Source organism: Homo sapiens, chromosome 20, assembly GCF_000001405.40.
Source record: "Homo sapiens chromosome 20, GRCh38.p14 Primary Assembly".
Classification (NCBI taxonomy): Eukaryota; Metazoa; Chordata; class Mammalia; order Primates; family Hominidae; genus Homo; species Homo sapiens.
The window spans coordinates 4,179,572-4,201,095 of NC_000020.11; the positions used below are offsets into that span (position 1 = coordinate 4,179,572).

Sequence of the window (21,524 nt, forward strand, 5' to 3'; positions counted from 1 at the left end):
TGAAGAGCCACTCATCTGAATGTATTTTATTTATTAACAAATACATGAGTTTGTGCAATAGTATCATCTAGAGCTTAGTTTCTGGAGTAAGACTGCCTTGACCAAATACCAGTTCTACCATTTATTAGCTGTGGAATCTTGAGCAGGTTATTGAGCCTCTCTGAGCCTTACTTTCCTCTTCTGTAAAATGGGCATGGTGGTACTTACCTCATAGTATTATGAGGATTGAATGAGAACCAATGATAAGTGCTTAATGAGAATTGGGGTGAGTATTATTAGCTGTCACAGACCTGTCCGATTTTCCTTGGGTCACATTGGGAAGGTGTCGAATAACCCAGGAGAGGAGACTGTGCCATGTGATACACCCATGTTCGGTGAAGGCTGCCCTCGTTGGTGGCTGATGCAAAGAGTCATGTCGATGGACTAAATTCATTACTCCTCAGCTGGGCATTTTGGCCTCTAGTTAACATAAGCTAAGGACTGGCTACCAGGTTGCTTATCGCCCAAGGGAAAAACCCAGGGAGGAGGCAAATTGAAAGCCTGACCCTTGGCAGTGGTCCTGGGTGAAGAATTTGCTGAGGACTCCAGCTAAGGCTCACCACTCAGCATCTCCTGATTGCAGGGAGGCAAGATGAAACAATTTCCCTCACTTTCTTCTTTATAATTTAGTCTCCAGAGATAAGTTTAATTCATGTCTGTGTCTCAGGTGGAGGCCTTCCCCTTGAGTGAGATGGTGGTGGTGGCGGGTGGTGGACATCACTGTGCTTTGCCATCTTCCTTCACCCTGTGGCCCCAGGGCCTAGCCCAGGGCTGGGGGACAGGGCAGACACCATTCCCAGACATGTGTGCTGACCACACTCACTTTAGGAAGGGAAACAAACCATTCATCAGCTCAGCCACAGGGGCTCGACCAAGGAGCCTCCATTAGCTGGTGTCCTGGGAATGACAGCTGTGGGCATGTGATCCTGCCGCCTTCTTGCTCACGGCCCTCCAGCGATGCCAGGGCCTTGGATCAAGTCCAGAGTCCTTGGAATAACTCTCAGTCCTTTATGCCCTGGACCCTGCCTGCCCTTCCAAAGTCGGCTCTCAGATCCTCTCTCCTTGCTGCCCCCTCCAGCAAAACCAAACCCCTTCAGGATTCCTGACTGCTTCTCCATCTTTGAGGTTGCTGTTCCCTCTGCCTGAAATGCTTTTCTTCTCCCTTTCCTCTCCACCCTGGCTGTCTCTCAGCTGCCCAGGGTTGTCTGCGTTGACCTCACAGCCCCGGGTTCTTTCCTATCACGGCAGCCCAATCGTGGACTGTCTCCCCAGCTGGAGTGAGGGGAGGGGCAGGGACTGTTTCGCCCACATTACAAGCTGTGTCCTGCACAGAGCCCGGTAAATGTTGAGTAAATGTTGCTTCTGGGGATCCCTGGACTGGCTTACTTCCTTCAGGGAGCTCTGCCCAGTGCTTAGTGGGGACTGTATATGAGACAGGCACGAGGGTCGGGCGGGCAGTCAGACCCCTTTTCAAGTGACTGATCGTCGTTATCTGTTGATGAGGTGTGGGCTGGAGTTCTTGCTGAAACGTGCCCGTGAAATGCATCTCCCTTCCTTGGCACACTGGGGCCTCCTGAGACCCTGGCTTTTGTGTTCCTGTCTTCCCCACTGCGTCTCAGCTTCCTTACTCGTGGCTGAGGCCTGAAGCAAAGGGGGTGCTTTGTACGGAGCTGCACAGGCCCAGGGAGGTGTCTCCAGTCGTCAGGGGCCCTTCTGCTGGCCAGGCCACAGCTCCAGACTGCCCTCTTGGGAGCGGGCAAAGCAGACACACTTGGGCAGGGGTGGCAGGGAAAGTGCACGTATCGTTCTTGGAACAGGTAAATGTGTGCAAATGCCCATCCTCCAGTGGGAGGTGGAGCCCATGGAGGCCCATGCAGAGTCCATGAGGGGTGGCTTCTTTCCCACAGACTGTATGGGCACCAAATGTTTCACATTGTCCTAAGTGAGGGCCCAGCAAGAAAACCTCCGGGGCTTATCCCACCTCCCCGACAGGCCGGAGGCGAGGAGGTGGCTGCCCGGGGCCTTGGCTTTTGGTGCAGCATTGAGTGCAACATCGGATCCCTAAGGGACAGAGACCAGGGGCTCAGTGCATCCAGGGGACACCTGGGAACTGGTGGGTTTGGGTTGGGGGCCTTCTGTTTGAGATGGAGGTGTGATGAGGTGTTTTCAGTCTCATGGGGTCTCTCTGGCAGGTCTATAACTTGACCCAGGAGTTCTTCCGGCACGATAAACCAGTCAATGCTGAAAGTCAAAATAGCGTGGGGGTGTTCACCCGAGAGGAGGTGCGTAACCGCATCAGGAATGACCCTGACGACCCAGAGGCTACCAAGCGCCTGAAGCTCGCCATGATCCAGCAGTACCTGAAGGTATCTTGAGGAAGACGGATTCTGGGGGCGTCTGGGTCTGAGGAGGGCTACGCTGCTCCTACCCCTGCCCAACCCCGGCGGTCACCTGGCTTCTCCTTGGGTCTTCCCGCAGGTGGAGAGCTGTGAGAGCAGCTCACACAGCATGGACGAGGTGTCCCTGAGCGCCTTCGGGGAGTGGACCGAGATCCCCGGCGCTCACCACATCATCCCCTCGGGCTTCATGCGGGTTGTGGAGCTGCTGGCGGAGGGCATCCCTGCCCACGTCATCCAGCTAGGGAAACCTGTCCGCTGCATTCACTGGGACCAGGCCTCAGCCCGCCCCAGAGGCCCTGAGATTGAGCCCCGGGGTGAGGGCGACCACAATCACGACACTGGGGAGGGTGGCCAGGGTGGAGAGGAGCCCCGGGGGGGCAGGTGGGATGAGGATGAGCAGTGGTCGGTGGTGGTGGAGTGCGAGGACTGTGAGCTGATCCCGGCGGACCATGTGATTGTGACCGTGTCGCTAGGTGTGCTAAAGAGGCAGTACACCAGTTTCTTCCGGCCAGGCCTGCCCACAGAGAAGGTGGCTGCCATCCACCGCCTGGGCATTGGCACCACCGACAAGATCTTTCTGGAATTCGAGGAGCCCTTCTGGGGCCCTGAGTGCAACAGCCTACAGTTTGTGTGGGAGGACGAAGCAGAGAGCCACACCCTCACCTACCCACCTGAGCTCTGGTACCGCAAGATCTGCGGCTTTGATGTCCTCTACCCGCCTGAGCGCTACGGCCATGTGCTGAGCGGCTGGATCTGCGGGGAGGAGGCCCTCGTCATGGAGAAGTGTGATGACGAGGCAGTGGCCGAGATCTGCACGGAGATGCTGCGTCAGTTCACAGGTGCGCCACGTGCCCCACGACCCGCTTCCCCCACCCTGCTTCTTCCTCACCTGCCCTCCTCTGGTGGACCCATGGCAGCTCTCTCCTCCCCAGACCGTGAAGCTCGGATGCTGTGCCCCACGGGAGAGCCACTGCAGGGTGCCACATTCAGCCAAAGGCTCTTCAGTTGCTGACAGTTTAGAACTTGACACACTCAGAATTATGGGCGCTGTGTCTCTTCCCCCTTTCTAAAGGCTGATGGTAAAACACTCAGAGATCACCGCCCATTGTGCTCTGTTGCTAAGAGCTGGATTTGCCTTTTACTCTCTGAGTCTTTCAGCTCAACATTTTTCACCCACTATTCCAGGAGGACCTCACGAGAACCCCCGATATTAGGCGGGGAAACATGATTATGTGTCATGTGTTTTCAGATAGATAGGAAAAGTAAGGTGGAGCGTTTTGCCGGGGGTCACAGGAGGCGCTGAGTGGGTACACAGCTCGAGCCCCAGCCTCCCTCCTTCCTCTTCTATCCTCCGTGCCTACCCCTGGCAGTCTGGTCCTCCCGGAGCCCTGGAGGTGGGGTGGGGGGTTGTCCCTTTGGGGTCATCTTCCATATGCAGCCATTTCTTATCCTCCCTCCTCTTGGCTTTTCTGACTCTCCATCAGGGAACCCCAACATTCCAAAACCTCGGCGAATCTTGCGCTCGGCCTGGGGCAGCAACCCTTACTTCCGCGGCTCCTATTCATACACGCAGGTGGGCTCCAGCGGGGCGGATGTGGAGAAGCTGGCCAAGCCCCTGCCGTACACAGAGAGCTCAAAGACAGCGGTAAGCGGGGCGTTTGGGGTGAGGAGGGGAGTTGTGGGTGTATTTTGTATGTGTGTCCGGTCCAGGGTGAGGAGGGCTAGGGTAGTGTTCACTAAGGGGTGCTCAGGTGAGGCAGGGATGGAGTAGCTTCTGTAATGAGAGAGAACACAAGGAAAAAAGTGTGCACTTAATATCTGGAAGAAAAAATGGAATCAAATTGAAACTTAAAATGTTTTCTTGATGTTATGAAAACTGAGCTATTCCATGCTGTGCTGGCCAATACGGTAGCTATCAGCCACTTTCAATTTAAATTAATTTATTAAAAATTTAAATTAATACAGTATTTTTTTTTTCTTTTTTGAGACAGGGTCTTGCTCTGTCTACACTTCAGGCTGGGGTATAGTGGTGTGATCACAGCTCACTGCAGCCTTGACCTCCTGGGCTCAAGTGATCCTCCCACCTCAGCCTCCCAACTAGCTGGGACCACAGGCATGCCGGCACGCCACCATGTCCAGCTAATTTTTGTACTTTTTTTTTTTTTTTGGTAGAGATGGGGTTTCATCATACTGCTAGGCTGGTCTTGAACTCTTGGGCTCAAGCTGTCCTCCCGCCTCAACCTCCTGAAGTGCTAGGATTATAGGAATGAGCCACCACACTTGGCCAATACAGTAAAGTTTTTGTTCCTTGGTTGCACTAGTCACATTTCAAGTTCAACAGCCACATGTGGCTAGAGGTTACCATAGTAAAGTACATAGCGATAGGAATGTCCTATTGGACAGCACTGATTCAATGGAAATGTTTTCCCAATATATTTCAGAAAATAAAGTTTAGATTACTGATGCTCCACAATATGCCAACTGTACACTAAAAAAAAAAAATCTGAAATATATATTTATGCTCCCATAAAGTGGATTTTGAGTTTCCCCCATCAAGTAGACACACACAGTAAATGTTAAAACTCAACAGTTATATTTAAAACAATTATTTGGTATAATTGGTGAAGAAGAGTTCAGTCAACCAGCATCTACTATGCCTGCCCAACGGTGCTCAGATGGAGAGAGAAAAGGGCTGGTGTTTAAAGAGAGAGAGGTCCTCAGAAAGGCCCTTTCTGCTGCCACAGCCATCCTCCTAAAAAGCAAATCTTCTCTTTTCACTTGCATCAGTTAGGACTAGTGCATGTAGCAAAAAGCAAAGCAAAGCAAACACAACTGTGACTTAAACAAGGAAAATCAAAAGGAAATCTGGAGGCAGGCAGCAGGATCCCGTATCATTAGCACCTGGCTCTCATCTTCAAGACCATCTTGTGGTCCAAGAGGGCTGCAGAAGCTCCAGTTCTCACATCTGCATCTTAGGCTAGAAGGAAGAGGAAAGGCAGATGGCAAGAAGGGAACCCTTGGAGCTGAGTCAGCTGTGTCTCTAAGCAACAGTGCACTTTAATGCTTATTGGCCAGAACATAGACACATGACTGCACCTAGCTGCTACAGAGGCTGGGCAGTATCATTTTTATTCTGGATGGCAATGGACCCAGTTAAAAATCAGGACTTTGTTATTGAGGAGAAAGAGGAGAATGGTTGGATGTGGGAGTGGTCCCAGCTACTTGGGAGGCTGAGGTGGGAGGATCACTTGAGCCCAGGAGGTCAAGGCTGACACAGTATACAACACCCCTTTCAGTGTAACAGCCTCTGTGGGCTCCTTGGTGGTGGGATTACAGCCTCACTACTCAGGGTAGGTAGATCAGTACCAGCCTCACCTGGGAGCTAGTTAGAAATGCAGATTCTCAGCCTGGCCAACATGGCGAAACCCTGTCTCTACTAAAAATACAAAATTAGCCAGGCATGGTGGTGCACACCTGTAGTTCTAGCTACTTGGGAGGCTGAGGCATGAGAATTGCTTGAAGCTGGGAGGCGGAGGTTGCAGTGAGTTGAGATCATGCCATTGCACTCCAGCCTGGGTGACAGAGCGAGACCCTGTCTCAAAACAAAAACCAAAAAACAACAACCCCTGGCGCCCTAAACACACACACACACAAATAAATAAATAAATAAAAAGAAATGCAGATTCTCAGCCTGGCCAACATGGCGAAACCCTGTCTCTACTAAAAATACAAAATTAGCCAGGCATGGTGGTGCACACCTGTAGTTCTAGCTACTTGGGAGGCTGAGGCATGAGAATTGCTTGAAGCTGGGAGGCGGAGGTTGCAGTGAGTTGAGATCATGCCATTGCACTCCAGCCTGGGTGACAGAGCGAGACCCTGTCTCAAAACAAAAACCAAAAAACAACAACCCCTGGCGCCCTAAACACACACACACACAAATAAATAAATAAATAAAAAGAAATGCAGACTCTCAGCCCACCCCAGACCTGCTGGATTAAAAACTGCATTCTGGCCAGGGATGCAGGCTCCTGCCCATAATCCCAGCACTATGGGAGGCCGAAGTGGGAGGATGGCTTGAGCTCAGGAGTTCAAGACCAGCCTGGGCAACAAAGTAAGACCTCCATCTCAACAAAAAATTTAAAAAAAAATTAGCCAGGTGTGGTGGTGTGTGCCTGTAGTCCCAACTACTTAGGAGGCTTAGATGGGAGGATTGCTTGAGCCCAGGAAGTTGAGGCTGCAGTGGAGCTGTGATCATGTTACTGCACTCCAACTGGGGCAATAGAGTGAGACACTGTCTCAAAAATAATAAATAAAAACTGCATTTTATCAGGATCCACAGCTGGTGCCTTGCACCTTGAATTTGAGAGGAACTAGGATAAAGTCCAAATGCAAACTTGGGGTGCAAGAACTTGTACCTTGCCTAGACCTCACCTAGACAGCCTGCTTTCTCAAGGCCGAGCCCTGGCTGTACCAAAATTCTCACTGTCCCCCGAGCAAGGCCTGCTTTGGTACATTTTTGCCCCCACCTTTCCCTCTGTCTGAAATGTCCTTTGCCTGTCCGTTCACTCAGCATCTTCCGAGAACCAGTTCAAAGGTCCTGTCCTCTGGGAAGCTTTGTGGGATCCCCTGACACTGGGCCTCTTTTCTGGGCTTTCGGCGCCTTGTGCAAACACCCATTCCATCACATATGACGCTGTTTAGTAATTGGGTTTCATGTCTGGCTTCCTCACCAGCATGGAAGCTCCACAAAGCAGCAGCCTGGTCACCTTTTCTCTTCCAAGTGCCCAGAACAGCCCCTGGATGCTAACAGGGGCGCCGTAAAGGTTTGTCAAATTACCACCGACTTTATTGAGTGCTTTGTTCTTCCAGGTTCTAAGTGCTTTAGATACATGATTTCCCTTAATCCTTACAACCACCCTCCGAAGTAGGTGGTATAAACCCATTTGGAAGATGAGAAAAGCAAGGCTTAGGGAGGTTAAACCACCTGCCTCAAGTTGACAAGTAAGAGGCACAAAGAGCCTTTGAGACCACAGAGCCGGGACTCCTAATGGCCTCAAGACAGAAAGAGCCAAGGGAAGAAGCAGGGGAAAGTGGCCAGATAGGATGGGCAGCTCTTCATCCTGTGGAAGCAGCAGCACCTGCGTCTCAGAGCCTCTCTAATTTGTCATTGGGATGGGAGGTTCTGGTGGAGAGGGGTGGCCTTGTGGCCTTCTGGCCTTTGCTGCTCCTCCACCCTGACCTCCCCATCCCCGCCCCGCAGCCCATGCAGGTGCTGTTTTCCGGTGAGGCCACCCACCGCAAGTACTATTCCACCACCCACGGTGCTCTGCTGTCCGGCCAGCGTGAGGCTGCCCGCCTCATTGAGATGTACCGAGACCTCTTCCAGCAGGGGACCTGAGGGCTGTCCTCGCTGCTGAGAAGAGCCACTAACTCGTGACCTCCAGCCTGCCCCTTGCTGCCGTGTGCTCCTGCCTTCCTGATCCTCTGTAGAAAGGATTTTTATCTTCTGTAGAGCTAGCCGCCCTGACTGCCTTCAGACCTGGCCCTGTAGCTTTTCTTTTTCTCCAGGCTGGGCCGTGAGCAGGTGGGCCGTTGAGTTACCTCTGTGCTGGATCCCGTGCCCCCACTTGCCTACCCTCTGTCCTGCCTTGTTATTGTAAGTGCCTTCAATACTTTGCATTTTGGGATAATAAAAAAGGCTCCCTCCCCTGCCCCTCAGCTTCTCTCTGGTTTTCTCAGCCTCTGTGTATGTGTGTGTGTTTATTTCTGTCACACCGCCTTTGAGTGAGAGGGAGAAGGTTGGGGAGCCCTGGCCTGGCTGTGTCCCCAGAGGGAAGGTGCTGCTTTTACTGGAAGGGATGTCCCCTCCCCCCATCTGTTGGGGTGTTTACCTTCCTGCCAGTAAGGCCCCTCAGGAATACGGGCCTCTCAGTGTACACCTGCTCCTTCAGGTCTGGCCTGAGTCTGCTTGCTGGCCCTTTTTTTTGCTGGACTTCTCTGAGTTTAACTGAGTGACACACTGCCTGGAGTGAAGGAGTTCTGTGGGGGGGACCCCCAGTGGTGGTGGCTCCATGCCAAGCCTAGGTATGTTCATTGTTTTTTTTTTTTTTTTTTTTTTTTTTTGAGACGGAGTCTCGCTCTGTCGCCCAGGCTGGAGTGCAATGGCGCAATCTCGGCTCACTGCAACCTCTGCCTCCTGGGTTCAAGCAGTTCTCTGCCTCAGCCTCCTGAGTAGCTGGGATTACAGGCGCCCGCCACCACGCCTGGATAATTTTTGTATTTTTAGTATTTTTGTAGTTTCACCATCTTGGCCAGGCTGGTCTTGAACTCCTGACCTCAGGTGATCTACCCGCCTTGGCCTCCCAAAGTGCTGGGATTACAGGGGTGAGCCACCGCACCTGGCTTGTTCATTGTTAATTAGCGTCACCTGTCCACTGGGCTGTGGGTCTGGCCCCTGGGGTGGCCTTCTTTTGAACCTCTGGGCAGATGGTCATTCTGGGCTTTATTTTTTGACAGGGGGAATATCCTAAGGCCTGCCATTTATTGGGGAATAGATTTTTCTTCTCGTCAGCTGGGTTCAGTGCTCCCAACACTTTGGGAGGCTAAGGTGGCAGGATCACTTGAGCCCAGGAGTCTGAGGCTGCAGTGAGCCATGATTGCACCACTGCACTCCAGCTTGGGTGACAGAGTGAGACCCTGTCTCAGAAAAATAAAAGAAGGTGTTATTTGTAATCCTTTACATGTAAGCTGTCAAGCTTCTCAGTATTAAGGAATAATTCACACACCAAATATAAAGCAATCAATACTTTCCTTTACATACTAGGCATCTAGAAAAGGGTCCTAGGCTGGACATGGTGGCTTATGCCTGTAATCCCACCAATTTGGGAGGCTGAGGCAGGAGGATTGCTTGAGCCTGGGAACTTGAAACCAGCCTGGGCAACACAGTGAGACCCCATCTCTACAGATGTCTTTTAAAAAAGAAAAACTTCTTTTTCTTCTCTTTTTGCTGAGTAAAAAGACACATCTACCCCCTTATATATACTCACCCACATATATAGGTACACATACCTACATATACTCACCACTACACCTTACACATAACCCACATGACATATACAGGTACACACACCTACATACACTCACCTCTCTACCCTACACATATACCTACCTACATACACACACACACAGAACCTTAAAGAACAGTCATTTTGTTACTCCACATTTCTAGTGATGAAATTTGAATTCAGATCCACATGGCTCTGTCCATGTGGTTTAAGCCCAAAAGCTATATAAGAATACACTAAAATGTCCCCATTCACACTGTCCCCAGTCATCTTAAAGAACAGTTAGTCATTTTGTTATCCTAGATTTCTAGTGATGAAATTTGAATTCTACAGAGTTGAAGGGTGGGGTGATGGGGAGAAGTTATGAAGAGCTTAGGTCAGGTCCCCTTCATGGACATTTAGGGCCCTGCCCTTGACAGGACATGACAGCCCCTTCCTCCTCCCAGGTGATTGATTGATTGATTGAAATAGCATCTCACTCTGTTGCCCAGGCTGGAGACAGCGGTGCGATCATGGCTCACTGCAGCCTCAGACTCCTGGGCTTAAATGATCCTCCTTACTCAGGAGTGGCTGGGACTACAGGCATGTGCCACCATGCCTGGCTAATTTTTATTTTTATTTTTTTGTAGAGAGAGTGTCTCATTATATTGCCCAGGCTGGTAGGTTGTGATGGAGATGTCTAACACACAGACACACGTACACACATGCTTACCTGCATCCACTTACGCACACACACCTACATGCACAAACCTCACAGACATTTTGCTTTGCCAGGGTTGATCTGCCAGAAATCTTCATGGAGCTTATATCAAGGGATTCATACCCACCTGCTGGCATAACTGAAAAATGTCTAAATATATATATGAATTTTTTTTTTTTTTGAGACGGAGTTTCACTCAGTTGCTTAGGCTGGAGTGCAGTGGCATGATCCCGGCTCACTGCAACCTCCACCTCCCAGGCTCAAGCGATTCTCCTGCCTCAGCTTCCCGAGTAGCTGGGATTAAGGCACGAACCACCATGCCCAGCTAATTTTTCTATTTTAAATAGAGTTGGGGTTTTGCTATATTGGCCAGACTGGTCTCAAACTCCTGACCTCAGGTGATCCACCCGCCTCGGACTCCCAAGGTGTTGGGATTACAGGCGTAGCCACTATGCCCAGCCTATATATGAAAAATTGTCTGAATAGATGATCTGTTCATGTAGTTTAAGCCCAAAAGCTGTCCACGTGGATACAATACACTGAAATGTTCCCTCTCACAGTGTCCCCAGTCACTGTTGCCTCTCCCACAGCCCTAGGGGTATCCATTCCTAGATGTAAGTCAATATAAAAACACTCTTCTCCCTCCTTTTTATACAAAAGCACCAAAGTATTCATCTTGTCCTGATTTTGCTTGTTTTAGTTAACAATATGTCCTGTAGGCTGGGCGCGGTGGCTCACACCTGTAGTCCCAGCACCTTGAGAGGCCAAGGCGGGTGGATCACCTGAGGTCAGGAGTTCAAGACAAGCCTGGCCAACATGGTGAAACCCTGTCTCTACTAAAAGTACAAAAAATAAGCCGGGTGTGGTGATGCATACCTGTAATCCCAGCTACTCGGGAGGCTGAGGCAGGAGAATTGCTTGAACCCAGGAGGTGGAGGTTGCAGCGAGCCGAGATCGCGCCATTGAACTCCAGCCTGGGCAACAAGAGTGAAACTCTGTCTCAAAAACAAACAGAAAAACAAATAAAAAATCAAAAAAACCCACAATATGTCTTGGACATCTTTCTGTAATGGTACATAAGCAGACAATGTAAATTTGGACCTTACTTTGGTCAAAGCATGTCTGTCTCCTCCCTGGCCCAGGGTCACTTTATGGAAGCCACCTTCTATTACCTGTTACCTTCCATGACTCATAGTCTGCTGTCTGCTTCTGACTCCTCAGTTGTTGGATTTCCCCATCCACTGCAGTGGGATGGAGACAAGCAGCCCCATCACATAAGTATCGGGGAAGAAAGTGATAAATAGGTTCTCAGTGTATAGGCAGAGGAATTTTAAAGGACTCCATGGTGGGGTGAAAGGTCTGGAAATGTTTACTTGGTGACTGCACTTCAGGGAGCTTCATGGGTGGGTAAGAGGGAGGGAGAGAATATTCACTTAGTGCCAATTGCCTGGCACTATGCCATGTGAATGTGATACTGATTTGACAGTGATGCCAACTCAGGCTTTATTTATTCCTGTGGGCAAGTGAAACCTCAGAGAAGTTAAGTAACTTGCCCAGGGTTGCTCAGAGGTGCCGAGACATGAGCTGAAGTCTGTCTGACTGCGTGGTGTAGGCTCGTTCTATTGTATGATGAAAAGAAGAGGCTGGTGCCACCAAAAAAGCTTAAGGCCATTGCTGGAGAGAGTGGGTGTGGTACGACCACACTGGGGGACTGTGGCGGAGTCAGCTAAAACTGGCCATGTGCTTGCCAGCGTTCCCACCCCTGGGTATACACCCAAGAGAAAGGCGTGCAGGTGCTCACCAAACATATATACCAATGTGTCCACAGTAACATGGACCCTAACAGCTAAAAAACTGGAAGCTGCCCAGATGTCCATCAACAGTAGAATGAATTCCAGTGCACTCACACAATGGAATACTATATAGCAATAAATAAAAGGAATGGATATTTGCAACAACATGGATTAACCTCAAAAATGTTATGTTGGCAGGGTATGATGGCTCATGTACCCCCAGCACTTTGAGAGGCCAAGGCAGGTGGATTGCTTGAGCTCAGGAGTTCAAGACCAGCCTGGGCAACAAGGCGAAACCCCGTCTCCACAAAAAATACAGAAATTAGCTGGGCATGGTGGTGCGTGCCTATAGTCTCAGCTACTGGGGAGGCTGAGGTGGGAGAAATGCTTGAACCCAGAAGGTTGAGTCCGCAGTGAGCTGTGATCATGCCACTGCACTCCAGCCTGAGCAACAGAGCAAGATTCCATCTCAAAACAGCAACAGCAACAACAACAACACAACAAAAACCCTCAAAACATTATGTTGAGTTAAAGAAGCCGGACAAAAGGCTATGTACTATATGATTTCTTTTATGTAACGTTCAAGAACTTGCAAAACTAATCTACTGTGTTGGAAATGAGGGGCTGGGGGTGGCGGCTGGGCAGGAGTGGGATGGGGGCACTTCCTGGGGTAACGGAAGTGTTCCACATCTTGATCTGGGTGGCGGTTGCATGGGCATACACGTTGGTAAAAATGCATCAAGTTATACATGGAAGAAAGTTTCAAGAGTCTGAGAATGCCTCCCTCCATTCTCCCATTCCAAAACATGGTCATATTGGCCCAGCTAATTTCCTCCTTGCAGCAGAGATGACACATCTGAGAGCAGATAAAGGGAGGAGGGGCCCTCTTAGGCCCCACTGGCTGCCTGGTGATAAGCAGTGACCTCAAATTAATATAGGATGTCACTGTTTACCAGCTCCATTGCCTGTATCCCCTTATCCTCTCTGCATCTGCAACCACGAAAGAGGGGTTGGGATTGTTCCACAGCAGAGGAAATGGAGGTTCTCGGAAGGACCTCGGGGAGGCCATGCAAGGCTACTCGGCTTGGAGAGGACATGACCTCGTGGGGAAGGGAGCAACCCGGGGAGGAAGCCGAGGGGGAGCCTTTGGACACACAGGCAGGGACAGGCGCCAGAGGGGGCACCTCCTGCAGTGTGCTGCCTCCACATCAATAATTGCATAATGTGGATACCATTTATGATTGACAGTTCCAAAAACCAAACTCACTCACTACAGATGAGCAAGGAAGAGCAAGAGCCATTCAGAAGTGAGGAGGTATGACGTACAAGGAACACAGGATATGTTTCATGCTGTGATGAAGTTTCACAATAGACTTGGCATAGATTGAAACCCAAAGGGCTCTATCAGAAGTGGCAAATGTGGCACGCTCAGGCCAACACCCATGCCAATGATTCCTATAAAATTCCCATTGCCTGGTAGAAGTTCACAGGAGAGGAAAGTTCTTTCCTGCACCAGGTTCTATGGAGAATTGGTTGCATGGTTTCTCGTGCTGTGGGCATCAGGGACTTCAGGTGAAGGTATTTAGCTGTGGCTTTGTGCAAACCTCAGAACTGTGTCCTCCAAGGGCCTGGGGTATTTGGCAGGCGCTGTCTCTTGCTGCCTTTGCTGCTGTATGACAGGTGAGTAATATGTTATATCCTATTTCTTGGGAGCTGCCTGGAGTGTCTGCCCCTCCTGCAAACAAATGTAGGAGTGAAGCACCTCTAGTTTGAGTCACCTTAACTTACTAGGTCCTGTTGGGGGTGAGCTCAAGGGTAACTCCAAGGTGCAGAGTGAGTTAGGCTGCTGGTTCAGTTCTTGAGAATTGCCTGTCTAATTAGTGGTCTGCCAAACTTAATGGTAGAGTTACAGAAGGCTGTATTCTTTATAATGACTGGCTGGGCTGTTTGTTGAGACTCCTTATTTGTGTAGGACAATCAAGCCATCAACACGCAGGCAGAGTTGTTGCTCTACTAAGGTGGCAGCCAGGACATCTAATCTTGTGTTATGTATTTAATATTAAAAAAGGGGGTCGTTCACTGCCCTGTTTCATACTGTTCAGCTTGAGACTGGTAGGTACAAAAGTCTTCTCACTTCCCATGATTCTAGCGGTGATTGTTTAACACCGATTTTGCCAGAACGTTCAAAGCCTGGATCTCTCTCAGAGAATGCAAAGTGTTAGGCACATTTTATTTCTGCAAACTCTGTGTTTGTGCAATTTCAATGCGTTGGATTGGGTATTCCCTCTCCATTTCACTGTAGTCCCAGCTACTCCCTTTTGTCTTAGATCTGCTACCATCCCACTCCCATACATGGGGCACATGGGGTTACACAGCTGTCTTTCATCCCCAGTTCAAGGTCATGTGGCCACTTTATTATGCCTTGAAGCTCTTTCTTCTCTTCTATGAGCTACTTGGGTGTGCTTTCTGTTACTTGAGCCATTGGTTCCTCCTCTTTTGCTCAAATTAGTTTGGGTTAGGCTTCTGTCACTTCTGATCAGTTCAAACTAATTAAAATTGGTTCCAGGACTGGAGTTTTACATTTGGTCTGTCATTTCACTGGGTCTCTTTCTAATACCCTCAACTCTCTTACCCCCTGTTTTGTTAAAGCCAATTGACACAATTCCAATCAGCATTCAGTCTACAGCTACGGCTGGGCCACCATCAGTTGCTGCTGGAAAAAAACAGAGCCACACCTGCTGGCCGAAGCAAAGCAAATAACAACACTGCCTGCAGAATCTTTCCAGGGACTTAACATATTTAAAGCAGAAATTCTGCTTCTTCCTAAATCTAATCTACCCTTGGTCTTCCACATTTGAGTAAGTGGTACCACCATTTGGCCCAGGGCAAACACCTGGGCCATCATCAACTCCTTTTTCTTTCATATTCCACATCTGATCATCAGATTTGCAATCAGCAAATCTTGTTGGCTCTCCCTACAAAACACATCCTGAGTCTGATGACTTTGAGCCTCCTTCACCGCTCCTCACATCTCTGCTGTGTATGGCTGCAACAGCCTCCTAAGTGGGGTTCCTTTTTCCACGACTGTCCCTTTTAGCCTGTCCTCTACACAGCAGCAGCATGATCCTTTCAAAATATAAATCCAGCCACGCCACTTCCCTGGTTCTTAGTAACAACCATCATGCTAACGATCAAAGGTGATTTCCAACATCCTATGTGATCTGTCTCCCTGGGTCGCACCTCCTCTCCACCCTCTCCTTCCCTTTACCCTGGCTGTCCTCCTTAACTGAAATGCCCCCGTACCCCAGATATTTGCAAGGCTCTTTGCTGCTGCCTTCAGATCTCTACTCAGATGTCACTTCTTTGGGAAGACTTCCTGAGCAAAAGACTTCCTTGAGCACCTTGTTTCCACAGCCTCCCGCACTCTCTGCTCTCTCATCCTGCCTGTTTCTTCATAGTCCTTCTCTTTCCCCGATGTTTTTGGTTTTGATGTTTATGTGTTTATTTATTTTCCCTCAACCCCGAATGTAAGTTCTATGTTCACTTCTGCACGTCCAATGAGTCCAAAATAGTGCCTAGCATAATAGGTTATCAATAAATATTTGCAGAATGAATAAGCAAGGGATTGAAGAAGCCAAGATAAATGGTGGAAATCCGGAGGACACCCCTCTCCACCATCATTTGTCAATAGGCAATTTGGTCTCTTGCTTCATAGACAAAATAGAAGCCACCTGGAGGCAACTTCCTCACCCATCGACAAGCTCACCAGCCTTCATGCCTGTCCTTTGGAGCTTCCCTGCAGACAGTGGCAGGTAAGGCTTCTGCCTCTCCTAGGCTGACCCTCCACCTGTGCTTCCCATGCCTCAAGTGCAGGGACGTCGCCTCGTCCTTTCCGTCCCCTATCATTCTACTTCATCCTTTCTACCCACATTTCACTATGCTCATGTCTTTCCCATCAGCCACCTTCCTCGGGAACCACCTTCCTGGGCCTCTCCTTCAGTCAAGCTGCACAGCAGCATTTTCTACACTTGCTCTGGCGGCATCCTCACTGTCATGCACTAGCGGTTGTTGGTGAGGTTCTTCAGGCTGCAGATGGAGACATGGGAAGGGCTGGACTGGCTCCCCTTCTCACTGTGGCTGGGCAGGGTAGGGGGTACCCCGGCTTCCAGGATCTCTGGAAGCAAGGACAACCTCAAGGGCTGATCCACATCCTCTGGTGCCATCTGCCGCCCAGATGGGGACACAGCCCTCTTGCTGCACCGAGAAAATGTGTGTCCTGGATTCTCCGTGAGCTTTTCTGAATTAAAACAAACAACATAAAATCATGGGAGTGCCTTTAATTACTGTTGAATAAGTGAATAAAATAAGATTATAATATTCTACAGTATCATTTATTTTTCATTCTTAACATTATAAAGAGGGCTTGTTGGCTGGGCGCGGTGGCTCACGCCTGTAATCCCAGCCCTTTGGGAGGCTGAGGCGGGCAGATCACCTGAGGAGTTCGAGGCCAGCCTAACCAAGATGGGGAAACCCTCGTCTCTACTAAAAATACAAAATTAGCCGGGCATGGTGGCGCATGCCTGTAATCCCAGCTACTCGGGAGGCAGAGGCAGGAGAATCACTCGAACCCGGGAGGTGGAGGTTGCAGTGAGCCGAGATTGTGCCATTGCACTCCAGCCTGGGCAAAAAGAGCGAAACTCTGCCTCAAAAAAAAAAAAAAAAAAAAAAAAAAAAAAAAAAAAAAAAAGAGGGCTGGTGGCCCCCGAGATGAGATATTTACTTTTGTTCAATTGTTCATTCTTTTGTTCATCTATCAGACTTTTAATGATTTCCTTTTGTATGCCAGGCTACGTGCTTAAAAAAAGAAAAGCTTCACTATGCTTTAAGACACAAGTTCAGTAAATAAATAAGAAATGTGTGCTTAGTTTGTTCCCTAAGGAAAGCTGGACTTACGGGTTGTATTTGTAATAGTTGTGTGTGTGGATTAAGTAATGTGGGTGTGAGGAATAAGTCACAGGTGTGGATATATCTTATGTGTCCTGTTAAATCTGGCTTCCTAATGGGAACAAAATAAGGTCTTATTTAAAAAATTAGTAAACATATTTATTGGAAGTATAATTGTGTACAATAATACACTGATCACGAGGCTGGGTGTGGTGGTTCATGCCTGTAATCCCAGCACTTTGGGAGGTGGAGGCGAGTGGATCACCTGAGGTCAGGAGTTTGAGAACAGACTGACCCATGGTAAAACCCCATCTCTACTAAATAGAAAAATAATTAGCCAGGCACGGTGGCGCATGCCTGTAATCCCAGCTACTTGGGAGGCTGAGGCAGGAGAATGGATTGAATCCGAGAGGCAGAGGTTGCGGTGAGCCGAGGTTGTGCCATTCCGTGTCAAAAATAAATAATAAATAAATAAAAATACATGGATCACGAGTGTACAGCTTTATAAATTTTGAACCTACCTATGTAACTGGCACCCAGATCAGGAAACAGAAGTATCCCTTTGTTCCTCCTGCCACAGGCCCTCTCCTCCCAAGGGCTACCATTATGTTGACTTCTAATGCTTTAGTTTAACTTGTGCCCATTTTTGTACTTCATGTAAACATGACCCATTTGGTTTCTTTATCTTACCTGGTTTCTTTATTTGGTTTCTTTAGCTTGTGTCTGTGAGGTCCATCCATGTTGTTTCATGTAGCAAGCATTTGTTCACGCTTACTGCTTGATCATATTCCATTGTGTGATATGCCATGATTTGTGTATCGTTTCTCCTGGTGATGGACACTGGAATTGTTTCAAGTTTTTGGCTATTAAAAGCAGTGTAGCTAGCTGAGTGCGGTGGCTCATGCCTGTAATCCCAGCACTTTGGGAGGCTGAGGTGGGCCGATCACGAGGTCAGGAGTTCAAGACCAGCCTGGCCAATATGGTGAAACCCTGTCTCTACTAAAAATACAGAAATTAGCTGGGTGTGGTGGCATGTGCTTGTAGTCCCAGCTACTCAGGAGGCTGAGGCAGAGTAATTGCTTGAACCCTGGAGGCGGAGATCGCAGTAAGCAGAGATCACGCCACTGCACTCCAGTCTGCGCGACAGAGGGAGACTCTGTCTAAAAAAACAAAAAACAAAACAAAACAAAAAACAGTGCAGCTACCAACATTCTAGTATTAGTCTTCTGGTGAATATACGTATATGTGTATATATATGTGCATTTCTTTTTTTTTTTTTCTTTTCTTTTTTGAGATGGAGTCTTGCTCTGTCGCCCAGGCTGGACTGCAGTGGTGCAATCTTGGCTCACTGCAACCTCTGCCTCCCGGGTTCAAGCAATTCTCCTGCCACAGCCTCCCGAGCAGCTGGGATAATGGGTGCCCACCACCATGCCCAGCTAATTTTTGTATTTTTAGTAGAGACTGGGTTTCACCATGATGGCCAGGCTAGTCTCGAACTCCTGACCTCAAGTGATATGCCTGCCTCGGCCTCTCAAAGTGCTGGGATTACAGGCGTGAGCCACCGTGCCCGGCCTATATATGCATTTCTATTGGATCTATACCTAGGAGAAGAACGGACGGGTCACAGAGTAGGAGTGGTTTAGCTTTGGGAGTTCAAGGTATAATGGCTCCAAGCTCCCACATTCCACACTAGCAGGAAGTGTAGATTTCTCCCTGGTTCTCCTCCAAGGCTATTGACACTGAGTCATTATGCATCTTAGTTCTCTTCTCCCTGAGAAAATTCACCTGAGCCTCCTTCTAGTTAATCTCACCACAGCTGGCCTCTGGGGGTTCTGCAGCCCTCATTTCTATCAAAGCATCTTTGGAAGGTTCTTGGGGCCACCACAGATACCAGGCAGCCAGCACAAGTCTCAGTTGCCAAGGCTCAGTGAGCAGAGGCCCTGGGCTATTCCAGGGCTGGCTGCCAGGCCCTGTCCATTCCCAGTTGGGTTAAGTTGACTTTCCGTCCTCCAGTCTGGTCCTCCTTGCTTTTTGTCTACACTGTTGTTTTTCCAAGTGTGGTCCCCTGAACAGCAGCATCAGCATCTCCCGGGAACTCAGTAGAAATGCAGAATATCAGACTCCTCTTCTGACCTGAATCAGAATCTGCATTTTAACAAGGTCTCCAGGTGATTTGTGTGCACATTTGGGTCGATCTGTGCTAACTATAATACCGCACTCATAGTGAGGCTCAGCTGTGCCTCATGCTTTTCACACAGCAGGGGTTAATAATCTCCTTACATCCCTCCCTCCCTCATGCCCCTTGTCATACATTTCTAGAGCTCACCTCCCAGGGAGAGTTTGCCCATCTTTAAGTTATTTTGCAGGCAGGTGTTAGGGCTTCCCCACGGCCTGTGAGTGTTCCAGTGCTGCGGTGGCCTTCCATTTCTTTTGCCTGTCTAGAGCCTTGCTCTTCTAAGTGTGTTCAGTGGATCAGCAGCATTGGCCTCACCTGGGAGCCTTTTAGAGCATCAGAATCCCAGGCTCCATCCTCAGACCTGCCGGATCATAAAGCAGGGCAGGTGAGCTCCCAAACTGGGGCTTAGCTGCCCTGCATTATGAGTTTTTGGCTTTGCCCAGGAAAGAATTCAAGGGTGAGCTGGTGGTGTTAGACAGCGACTTTTACTGAAGTGGCAGTGCACAGCAGTAGCAAAGGCACAGTTCCTTGTGGGGCAGGGCTACCCCACAGGCAGTGTGCCCAGAGGAGCAGCTCAGAGGCAGTTCTGCAGTCATTTTTTTTTTTTTTTTTGAGACGGAATCTTGCTCTGTCGCCCAGGCTGGAGTGCAATGGCACAATCTCGGCTCACTGCAAGCTCCGCCTACCGGGTCACGCCATTCTCCTGCCTCAGCCTCCCGAGTCGCTGGGACTACAGGCGCCCACCACCACGCCCGGCTAATTTTTTGTATTTTCAGTAGAGACGGGGTTTCAACATGTTAGCCAGGATGGTCTCGATCTCCTGACCTCGTGATCCGCCCGCCTCGGCCTCCCAAAGTGCTGGGATTACAAGCGTGAGCCACCGCGCCCAGCCTGCAGTCATATTTATACCTACTTTTAACTACATGCAAATTAAGGGGGTGGATTTTGCAGACATTTTTAGGAAAAAGGTGATAACTTCTGGATCATTGGGTGGTTGCCATGGAAAGGGGTGGTAACTTTCAGGTGTTGCCATGGCAATGGTAAACTGACATGGCACACTGATGGACATGTCTTACGGAGGGATGCTTTTGTCTCTTCCTGTTTCAGCTAGTTCTCAATTTGGTGTGGTGTCCTAGCCCCACCTGTGGAGTCAAGTCCCACCTCCTACCTCAATCAGAACCTGAGTTTTTTTCCAACACGAGCTCCAGGTGAGTTGATTGCACAGTAAAGTCTGAGATGTGCTGTTTACACCACTGGTTCCTCATCTTGGCATAAGGATCATTTGGGGAGATTTAAGAAACCAACAACTCAGTGTTCCTGGCTTAACTTAGAGTTGTGGTTCCTGCCCTTGACTGCACATTGAATCACCTGGGAGCTTTAAAAGCCATGGGTGACCAGGCGCAGTGGCTCATGCCTGTAATCCCAGCACTTTGGGAGGCTGAGGTGGACAAACCACCTGAGGTCAGGAGTTCGAGACTAGCCTGGCCAACATGGTGAAACCCCCGTCTCTACTAAAAATGCAAAAATTAGGCCAGGCACAGTGGCTCACGCCTGTAATCCCAGCACTTTGGGAGGCCCAAGTGGGTGGATCTTCTGAGGTTTGGAGTTCAAGACCAGCCTGGCCAACATGGTGAAACCCCGTCTCTACTAAAAAAAATACAACAAATTAGCTGGGCGTGGTAGTGGGAGCCTGTAATCCCAGCTACTCAGGAGACTGAGGGAGGATGATCGCTTGAACCCGTGGGGTGGAGGTTGCAGTGAGCCGAGGCTGCGCCATTGCACTCCAGCCTGGGCAACAAGCGCGAAACTCCATCTCAAAAAAAAGAAAAAAAAATTAGCTGGGTGTGGTGGCGCATGCCTGTAATCCCAGCTACTCAGGAGGCTGAGGCAGGAGAACCACTTGAACCCAGGAGGTGGAGGTTGCAGTGAGCCAAGATCGCGCCATTGCACTACCAGCTTGGGCGATAAGAGCAAAAAAAAAAAAAAAAAAAAAAAAAGAAAAGCCATGGATGCCCAGGGCCACCCCTAGAACTGGTTTGAATTGGTCTTTCCCCTGTGTTCTTCAATGTAGGCAGCAACTCCTGCCTCTAATTCCATCAGGGGCCACCTTTTCCTACCATAATGGCTTTCATTTCACAAGTCAGGGGGCCAAAGAGATGAGCTTGACTGTTGCGAACGATATCTGCCTTTGCTCTTCAGGCAGGAACTGGGGAACTAACCCTGCAGGGGTTCAGATTTCTTGGGCTACTGCAAGACAGCCTTCGGTCAAAGCTCCATTAACTTACTAGCTACATGGCCCCCACTGTGATCAGTGTTTTTTAATCTCTGAAAGGTTTTTTTTCCTACCTAGTGAACAATCACACAGATACTTTTGTAGAACGAAGATGTTTACAAAACAAAGCATGTGGG

At 49.3% G+C, this 21,524-nt stretch overlaps 1 protein-coding gene and 1 long non-coding RNA gene across 14 annotated transcripts in view, besides 1 other annotated feature; both read left to right on the top strand.

Annotated features, from left to right (window-relative positions):
- Positions 1-8,156, top strand: part of SMOX (spermine oxidase) — a 38,900-nt gene extending 30,744 nt beyond the window's left edge. For 5 of the 13 annotated variants that reach the window (NM_001270691.2, XM_047440218.1, XM_011529261.3 and 2 more), the window contains exons 4-8: positions 2,232-2,405; positions 2,518-3,277; positions 3,923-4,083; positions 7,172-7,261; positions 7,699-8,156. In NM_001270691.2, the coding sequence (NP_001257620.1) occupies positions 2,232-2,405; positions 2,518-3,277; positions 3,923-4,083; positions 7,172-7,261; positions 7,699-7,836 (1,323 nt within the window). In that variant the 3' untranslated portion in view covers positions 7,837-8,156. The remainder of the gene's footprint in view (positions 1-2,231; positions 2,406-2,517; positions 3,278-3,922; positions 4,084-7,171; positions 7,262-7,698) is intronic. The other 8 variants (NM_175840.3, XM_047440222.1, XM_047440223.1 and 5 more) reach the window with 4 other exon arrangements.
- Positions 8,157-13,518: 5,362 nt separating this feature from the next.
- Positions 13,519-16,382, top strand: LINC01433 (long intergenic non-protein coding RNA 1433). The gene is made up of 3 exons (NR_033917.1): positions 13,519-13,675; positions 15,711-15,807; positions 15,955-16,382. It is a non-coding gene; the product is annotated as a long intergenic non-protein coding RNA 1433 (long non-coding RNA).
- Positions 15,665-15,846: a silencer, noted in NCBI's record as "fragment chr20:4175883-4176064 (GRCh37/hg19 assembly coordinates)". NCBI's record gives its function as "represses an EF-1alpha promoter that drives an FKBP-Casp9 reporter gene in an ReSE screen in HepG2 liver carcinoma cells {active_cell/tissue: HepG2}" and the evidence as "EXISTENCE:reporter gene assay evidence [ECO:0000049][PMID:32094911]".
- Positions 16,383-21,524: the final 5,142 nt, after the last annotated feature.